The 9,442-nt window shown below is 44.3% G+C and overlaps 1 annotated feature.

The window, feature by feature from the left end:
* Window positions 6,828-7,042: a silencer, noted in NCBI's record as "fragment chr2:68222082-68222296 (GRCh37/hg19 assembly coordinates)". NCBI's record gives its function as "represses an EF-1alpha promoter that drives an FKBP-Casp9 reporter gene in an ReSE screen in HepG2 liver carcinoma cells {active_cell/tissue: HepG2}" and the evidence as "EXISTENCE:reporter gene assay evidence [ECO:0000049][PMID:32094911]".

Raw genomic sequence — 9,442 nt, 5'->3', positions numbered from 1 at the left:
TTTATGAAGTCCCATATTTCTTGGAGTCTTTATTCATTCCTTTTCATTCTTTTTTCTCTAGTCTTGTCTTCATGCCTTATTTCAGCAAGGTTGTCTTCAAACTCTGATATCCCTTCTTCAGCTTGGTTGATTCAGCTACTGATACTTGTGTATGCTTCATGAAGTTCTCCTGCTGTGTTTTTCAGCTCCATCAGGTCATTTATTTTCCTCTCTAAACTGGCTATTCTAGTTAGCAGCTCCTCTAACCTTTTATCAAGGTTCTTAGCTTGTTTGCACTGGGTTAGAACATGATCCTTTAGCTCGGTGTAGTTTTTTTTTTTTTTACCCATCTTCTGAAGCCTACTCCCATCAATTCATCCATCTCATCCTCTGCCCAGTTCTGCGGCCTTACTGGAGAAACACTATGATCATTTGGAGGAGAAAAGGCACTCTGGTCTTTTGGGTTTTCAGCATTTTTTGTTGATTCTTTCTCATCTTTGTGAGTTTGTCTACTTTTGATATTTCAGACTGCTGACCCTTGGATGGGGTTTTTGTGGGGGCTTTTTTTGTTGTTGTTGATGCTGTTGTTGTTGCTTTCTGTTTGTTTGTTTTTCTTTCCATGGTTTGTTTCTTTCTTTCAAAGCCCTCTTCTGTACAGCTGCTGTGGTTTGCTGGGGGTTTGCTTCAGGCCCTGTTCATCTGGTTCACTCCTGCACCTGGAGATATCATGCAAGGAGGCTGGAGAACAGCAATAATGGGTGCTTGCTCCTTCTTCTGGGATTTCTGACCTTGAGGGGCACCATACTGATGTCAGTAGGATCGCTCCTGTGTAGGTTGTCTGACAACCCCTGTTGGAGGGCCCCACCCACTTGGATGGGATGGGGAACAGGACCTATTTAACGAAGTACTTTGACTGTCCATTGGTGGAGGGGGTGTGCTTTGCTTGGGGGAAACCCACTCATCTGGGCTGCCGGATTCCTCCGAAATACCAAGAGAAAGGCTAAGTCTGCTGGTCTACAGAGACTGCAGCCACCCTTCTCCTTAGGGGCTCAAGCCCAGGGAGATCTGGGTTCTGTCCCTGAACCTCTGGCTGGAGTTATTGGAGTTCCTGCAGGGAAGCCCTATCCAGTGAGGAAGGATGAGTCAGGGTCAAGCCTGAAGAGGCGCTCTGGCCACAGTCTGCCACAGCTGGTGTGTTGGGCGGTGGGGGACATGTCTTAGGACCAAGCCGTATAGCCTCCCTGGCTCCAGCAGGGGAAAAGTGTGGCCTGGAGCTATAGAAATGGGTGCTGTCCTTCCCTTGCCCAGGGAGCTTAGCGTGTTAGGCAGTTGTGAGTCCCAATGCTGGCTGCTGCTCCTCCCACGAGGAGCTCAAATGGCTTAGACAGCAGGCAGCCACAGCTGTGGTGCTGGTCGCCCCTCTTCCCAGGAGCTTGGTAGGCTTAAGCAGATTCCAGCTGAGAGGCTGTTGAGAATCTGTGCAGCTCTGGGGTTGGGACACTAGGTCCCAGTGGCATTGGTTCATGAGTAGGATCTTCCAATCCGTGGGTTTTATGAAGCTATTTGACTGTCATAGGAAGTGAGCTACTGCATCCTCTGCTTTAGTGTTTATGTTAGTGGTTCTCAAAGCGTAGTTCCAAAACCAGTGGCAACACCATCCCCTTGAAACTTGTTAGAAATGCAAATTCTTGGGACCCAGCCCAGACCTACTGAATCAGAAACTCTGGAGATAGGGCCCAGCAACCTGGGGTGTAACAAACCCTTCAGTGATTCTGGTTTATGTTCAAGTTTGAGAACAACTGGTCCGTGTTCTGGTGGAAAAGACAAAGTGAGAATGCCTCCATCTCCAGTCACAGGCTCCTGGTTGCCAAGGATGCCCTGATACTAGTTCCTAAAGGAAGACTGCTCCTTTCTGTAACTCAGACCTCTTTGTAGCACTTGGGACATAGATACTGGGAGGGAGCGTTCTTGTGATCAGGGAGCAAAGACTGGCTACCTTCAAGTAAAAGGCAACAAACTCTTTTGTTGGAAATATCATTGAAACCACCTGCCCAAACATGGCTCCGATGGGGTGAACAGTGATACTGACCTGTAGACATGCTTCCTCTGCCCACTCCCTAAAACAAATTAGAACAAGAAAAACAGCCACCTTCAATGTGTTCCAAGGATAGGCCAGGCACTATGCTACATAAGCTCTCTCTAAGCCCCAGTATAATGGTATTTGGAGGTGGGGTCTTTGGGAAGTGAATGGGTTTAGATGGGGTTATAAGGGTGGCACCCTGTGATGGGATTGATGATTTTTTAAGAAGTGGCAGAGACGAGAGCTGTGTGCCATGTGAGGACACAGTCAGAGAACGCAGCCATCCGTAAGCCAGTAAGAGGGCCCTCACCAGAACCCACATTGCTGGGAACTGACCTCAGACTTCCAGACTCCAGAACTGTGAGAAATAAGTTTCTGTTGCCTAAGCCTCCCAGTCTGTTGTATTTGTTACAGCAGCCTGAGCTGACTAATACAGTACAATTATTATCCCATTTTATCAGTGAGAAAATAGGTTCAAAAAGACCAATGAGAAAATAGATTCAAAAAGACCAAGAGCCAACTGTGTGAAGAGACCAAGGAACTTGTCCTGCTTCACCAAACTAGTGAGCATCAGAGTAGATTTGGTTATGGCCTGGGTGCCTTGTCAACCTGAAGGCCCTAGATTTCCTGGTTGGCTGAGGGTTTAAATTTCTCCCTTTATTTGGAAACTTAGTAGGGTGGACCTCTTACTCAAGGGACTTGGCCTTTGAGCCTTCCTCAATGATCCAGGTTTCAAATTTTCTGGATGTCACCTCCTGACTCCACAAAGTCCAATTTTAAAGGAGTCATATTATCCTGCTCAGTTCAGGGGTGCTCTGAAGCTCTTGCACAGCTCTCAGTTTCCTCCTTCTCTTGTTAGAGCTTGTGCCAGTCCCATGAACCCACCCTTTCTCCAGGAATTCCTCAGGCACCACATCACAGACCCTCTGCTCTAGGAAGGTAGCTCTCCCTCACCTTTCAAGACTGTTCTGTCTCATCTTGAGGCTGCTTTTATTCCCTCTAATCAGATGGAAGCCACCTGGTCTGTCCCTTAAATGCCGATTGCCATTGCTTTGCATGTGTGAGTTTTGCTTATCCTGTGCTGTGGTGAACCCCTATTCACCCCAGTAGGGAAGGCGCCAAGTTCAAGAGGTCAAAGAAGAGACCCTGAGCCAGCAAACAAGACGTGGACTTTTATTAAGGGCTTACAAACAGGGGAGAGAGTTCAGCGGCAGCAGGCTAGGCATGAGAACCACAACCACCTGCAAACAGCATGCAGTCTATATAGCATTTTCACCTAAAACCCTCCTCCTAACGACCTCCACCTGGCAACCTTCATTTACCCCAAAACTCAGGGCCTCAATCCCCTGAATGGTCCATCTTCCACGGGAGAGACCAGGGGCTCAGATCTTTATCATAGATAAAGAATGAATCTCCCGCTTGTCTACTCCTGGATCTCCTAGCTCAGAACACACATTCAGGTGCATCTGCCATACAGGGTCATTCTTAGGATATGCTTAAATTATTGCTCTCAGGTGTGTTTACCCTGTGCCCTGCTTCTCTGATGAGCTTAGCTCCTTTAAAAGCAAAAGAAACACTGGAACCTCTGTGTGTTGCTACTTGGTGAGTCTAAAGCAGAATCCTGAAGAGACAGGCCCAATTGGACAGCTTTGTCAACTGAGGAAAATTGGATGTGCGTATGTGTGTTGGGGGGCAGTTGGCGATGTTTGCTATAAAATAGCAGAGTGCTGCTATTTTGGATATATCTGTGTTTGCATTGACATTTCATGTTTGTGAAACCTCACAGCTTGATGTGTTAATCCACTACAATCATGGAGGGAGTGAAATGAAAACACTCAGAAGATTGGCAGACAGGAGAGCCAACTGTGTGAAAGGTACCAGAAAATTCTGCTTGTCTCCCAGAGCATTGCTAGAAGGAAAAATACAGGCAAGGACAGAAAGTCCCACAGAATGGGGCTATGGCGGCCACTCTGAGTTTGCTTGGGGTCTCTAATGATAGGCTTTTATCTTATTATAGCTGATTGACACAGAACTTATTCACAAATTAAGAAGTGCTCATTCCTTGAAATATTTTGGACCTTACACCAACTTTTTCTAGTGGGTTTTTAAAAAGACTCTATTATGTCAGTTTGGCTTGGAACCCAGGAGATGAGCTGGCACTCTTCAACGTTAATACAACATCATTTGTCACAGGATTTGCAGGTGTGACTCAGTTCCTGAATTAAAATATACAACAAAAGCTCAGGGCTGAGGAGCCAGCCTTTCACCAAGCCTGATGAGTCTACTGTAACTGGCATGCCCTGAGCAGTCTGGAGTCTCCGTGTGCTACTAGGTCTGAAATGTTTTGTTTGTTCGAGCATCTGACCTGTTAGCCTCACCCCCATGTAGGCTGCTGTCACCACTGGGCAGAAGCTTTCCCGGAGCTAGTTGGAGGTTATCCTACAGATATACTTTGGCATCTCCTGACTTTTGTCGTCGAGAGGGGGAGATTTTTGTTGATTTCACTTATTTGTTCATTTGGATGAACTCACAGTATCCACGGTAGTCAAAGCTTGATCCTTTTTGCAGATGAAGTGTATTCCAGAGGTGTCTGGGCATGTGAAGGTGGAGTCCTGAATATTTGTGATCTTACTTTGCCAAACCATCAGTTAGCTATGGGATTTGTCCTATGGAGAGCCAGAGCAGGCTGATGCCCTTCAGATGAAGGGCTCCCACCCCAATATACCTCCCATGACCTTTCTGTACATCTGAATTCTTGTGTAAAGATGACAAAGTGTTCAGACTTCAGGTAGAACAGGGTTTTTCAATCTTTTAAGTCATAGGACCCCTTTACACTTACAAATTGTTGAAGATCGCGAAATGCTTTTAAGTTGGCTATATCTATTGATACTTAGCATATAAGATAGGGGTCAGCAAACTATGACCCATGGGCCAAATCTGGCTCACCACCTGTTTTTGTAAATAAAGTTTTATTGGCACACAGCCAACCCCATTCATTTACATATTGTCTGTGGCTGCTTTCACAGTACAGTGGCAGAGTTGAGTAGTTGTAGCAGAGTCTGTGTGGCCTGTGAAGCCTAAAATATTACCTGTCCTTTGCAGAATAGTTTGCCAATTCCTGATATAAAAATTAAAAAATATATTTAAAATATGTATTAATTCATTAAAATATCAATAACAAAATCATGACAAGATAATTGAATACTTTTTTCAGTTGGAAATATGTCTCTATTTGCTAAAATAAAACAAAAAACTTAGTAAGACTCAGAGTGACATTGGTTTACACTTTTGTAAATTTCTTTGATGTGCAGCTTAAAAGAAGCAGCTGAATTCTCATATCTGTTTCTTCATCCAACCTGTTGTGGTATGCTGCTTTGGTTTAAGTAAATGAAGAAAATCTAACCCCTTACAGGTATATAGTCAGGAAAAGGGGGAGTATTTTGATAGTCTTTTCAGATATTTGTAGATATTCTGCTTTGACATTACCACAAGCCTTGACACGTGGTGATTTCTAGGAGGATGCATGTAAAATCTGGAACCGAACCATAGCAATGGCAATTTATACTGTGTTACATTAAAATGCACTGGTCTAATTTGCACTCTGAATGAATCTTATACCCATGTAAGATTTTATAACATAACACATTATTTTGAAAATAATAGTTCACTGAGTTTCGCAGATCTTCCAAATTTTGACACGTTTCATTTTGTATCATATCAAAACATCACATTTGTTAATATCACCATAGAGCTCATTGTCTTTAAGCTGTCAAACACTTGGTGGAGCATGTAAGTTTTCCAAAATTCTAATTTTTCCTTGAAACCTCAAATTTTATAATTGGCGTCAAATTCTGTCAGTTGTTTTCCTTGTACAGATAGGCTCATTATTTTTATTTTTGAGTCAATATCTGCCAAATACTGAAGTTTGAATAACTATGGTCTGTCTGTCAGCCATGTAAAATGTTGTCCCATTAAAAAAGAGGCTCATTCAGCTCACAGCTCAAACTATATTGCACCAGAGGATTTCCTGGAGACCACTAGCATGCTTCAGTATGCAGCAGAAGTGCTTATATGTACTTCTCATTTAGTCACCCAACATATTAAAAATATGTATACTCAAAGATAGCCACTTAATGAAATTCATACCTTTTACTGCCTCCTCAATGCCATTCTTAAGCAAAATTGGCTTTTTCTTCTTGGAAGCATGTGGTGGTAAAGAACAGAATGATCACTAGTGCAGCTTGCCTCAGCCTTGATACTGCTAAGGCACCAGCAGTTTTACTCCCCATACTTCCACAGTGTCAGTGAATTTCAACACAGTGAAGAAGACAAATAATGTCTCACTATTATTATGAAAATAGTTTGAGCCTTGTGGATCCCTGAAAGTGGGTCTGTGGATCACACTTTGAGAACTGCTGAGGTAGAGAAAAGGAAGGGAACAAACTAAATCAAATGCCATTAGTTTAAGAAGAGGCTGCTGGGTAAGGAGCCCCATGACTAAGTCATATTGGGGAATGCAGTATACGTATAGGTATTATATTGTTGGAACTTCCTAGCAATCATTAGGTTTGAAAGGCTCTGAGAAGTCCCCTAGAAAATAAACTTCTTTAACTTTGGATTTCCCAAACCTATTTGAGCAAAACATCCCTTTGTCAATATATGTGAATACTCTCTGGGAAACCATGATCCTTAAGGTATCAGCATGACTGTTGGGATCTCCTGAAAGCAGGCTTGATGGGCTGGGAAGTGGTGTGGCAAAGGGGGCTGGAGAACATCCGGAAACCGGGACCCTCAGAGACTGACTCCTGGCCACTCAGAGTGATCCTTGAGGCCACTCCTGAGTTGTCTGCTCATTTCTTTCTGGGCAGTATCCCTGACAACAAGGCCAGTGACTGGGCCACAGGAGAGAATGCCCATAGCACTAATCCTCCTGCCTTATTCCTGGAAGCTACTTCTTGTAAAGAATGAATGGCAGCAGATCTGTAAAACTGCATTTTTCACATAGCCCACTTCTTGTAGAGAATGCCAGCAGATGTGCAAATCTGCATTTTTCACATTGCCAAGTGGATTTTGAAGAACAGAACTAGGCAGAAAAGGCACCAAAACCTGCCCTGGATGGGGTGGGCATGCCACATGCTGCAAATGGCTTTCCTTCCAGACTCTGTGTTTATCGGTCTGGAACCATTCCTGGGGCACATCCCTCCTTTAGATTGTGACAGCTGGCCGTGGGAACCCACAGCACTCTCACTGTCACTTTCTGAGATGGGGCAGGCCCTGGGTATCATTCTTATGAGGATTTACTTTATATTGCCCATTCTTAGATAAGAAAACTCCCTTTCTGGAGGAAAAATATGGAGGAAAAAAACTTGCCCTCAGTGAAGTTAACTCTTTGAAGCTTTTTTTACCACTCCCACTTCACCCCCATCCTGATTAATACCTCCCATCCCACACACTCTGAACTCTCAGAGGAATCTTCCTAAGGCACAGGAAGCAGGAAAAGAGTCGGGCTGCTATTCAAGACCAGGTGTATTAGTCTGTCCTTGTGCTGCTAATAAAGACATGCCTGAGACTGGACAATTTATTTAAAAAAAGAGGTTTAATGGACTCACAATTCCACAATCATGGTGGAAGGCAAAGGAGGAGCAAAGGCACATCTTACATGGCAGTAGGCAAGAGAGCATGTGCAGGGAAACTGCGCTTTCTAAAACCATAATTTTTCATGAGATTTATTCACTATCATGAGAACAGCATGGGAAAAACCCTCCCCCATGATTCAATTACCTCCGACTGGGTCCCTTCCATGACACATGGGGATTATGGGAACTACAATTCAAGATGAGATTTGGGTGGGGATACAGCCAAACCATATCACCAGGTGAGAGGAAATAAGGGCCTCAGAGAGGCCATGGGTGAGCTGGTCGTGGGACTGTAAATTCTGCCCCTGATCCAGCTGTAAATGAGTGGGGGCTTAGCCTAGATCAGTTGGTAGGGGAGATGGGAGGGGAGATGGTGTCCCAGGGCTCTAATCTTTTACCCTTTTCAGTTGGAGTGCCCCTGCTTCTACCTTTTCTATAATCTGAATTTTGGTGTAAGACTTCATTTGAACCAAACATTCTACTGCTTAAAAAGATGTGCTGAAAATCACCAGAAAACAGACATCTTCTAAGGTTCCTTCCATCTCTAAATTTATTCCACACGCCTGAATAGTCTCAACTTCCTAATGCTTTCCGAGTATTTTCATGTGTTTCTTCTGCATTTGGCCTTTTGTCCATACTCAGTGACAAACTTTAGAAGGCAGGGAGTTTCTGTATACTTTGATGTTCATAAAAATATCCAGCATGGGTGCTGTGCACACAAGGCCTGTGATAACTAGTGATAAGTGTTACTGCAGCTGTCTGAGAAGGGCTTCTGAGGCTTGGTGGTTTAGTTATCTCTGAAAACCATCCAGCAAGAGGATAAAGGGTGCAAGGAAAATGGCAGTGAACTAGGCAGGAGACCTTTGTGCTACATCCTGCTCATCACTCACTCACCATACGCTCACATAGGCTTAGATACAGGCTGTCCGTGGTTTGATTTCCAGTGAGATGAAGGACTTGTTTGAAAGCCATGCTTCCAAAATGTGGGTCATGGAGAATAGTGGGGTTATTGTAGTTTGGTCCAAGCTGTCTGTCCAGCTTGCTGCAGGCTGAGCACACAATGTCTTGCACATATGTAATTATTTTTCAAATGTATTTAGAAGTGACTGTGACTGATAAAATTCAGGTTCATTTTAAAGTGTTACTGGGGCCGGGTGTGGTGGCTCATGCCTGTAATCCCAGCACTTTGGGAGGCCGAGGCAGGCAGATCACTTGAGGCCAGGAGTTTGAGACCAGCCTGGCCACCATGGTGAAATGCTGTCTCTACTAAAAATACAAAGATTAGCTGGCCATGGTGGTGCACACCTGTAATCCCAGCTACTCAGGAGGCTGAGGCAGGAGAATCACTTGAATTCGGGAGGCAGAGGTTGCAGTGAGCTGAGATCATGCCTCTGCACTCCAGCCTGGGCAACAGAGCGAGACTCCATCTCAAAAAAAAAAAGTGTTTTTGGATTCATAGTGGCTACTAAAAACATACATAATGAATGCTAACATTTATTAAGTGCTTACCAGGTGTGAATTAGAGTAAAGTGCCTGTCTCAGGTTGGATTTCCAGACACTGAGAAGAGGATTTGTATGCAGGGGATTTATATAGGATTTTGCCCAGAGAATGGGAAGAGGAAGGACAGAGTGGAAGAAGTCAAACAAGGGTGTTATTGCAGGTGAGTCCCAGTCTTAGCTCAGTCGAATGGGGTGCTCTGGAGTGTTAAGTACATCACAGGGTTGGTCCTCACGCATGGCAAAGGAA

This window comes from Homo sapiens, chromosome 2, assembly GCF_000001405.40.
Source record: "Homo sapiens chromosome 2, GRCh38.p14 Primary Assembly".
In the NCBI taxonomy this organism is placed as follows: Eukaryota; Metazoa; Chordata; class Mammalia; order Primates; family Hominidae; genus Homo; species Homo sapiens.
This window is presented reverse-complemented; position numbering and strand designations above follow the sequence as displayed.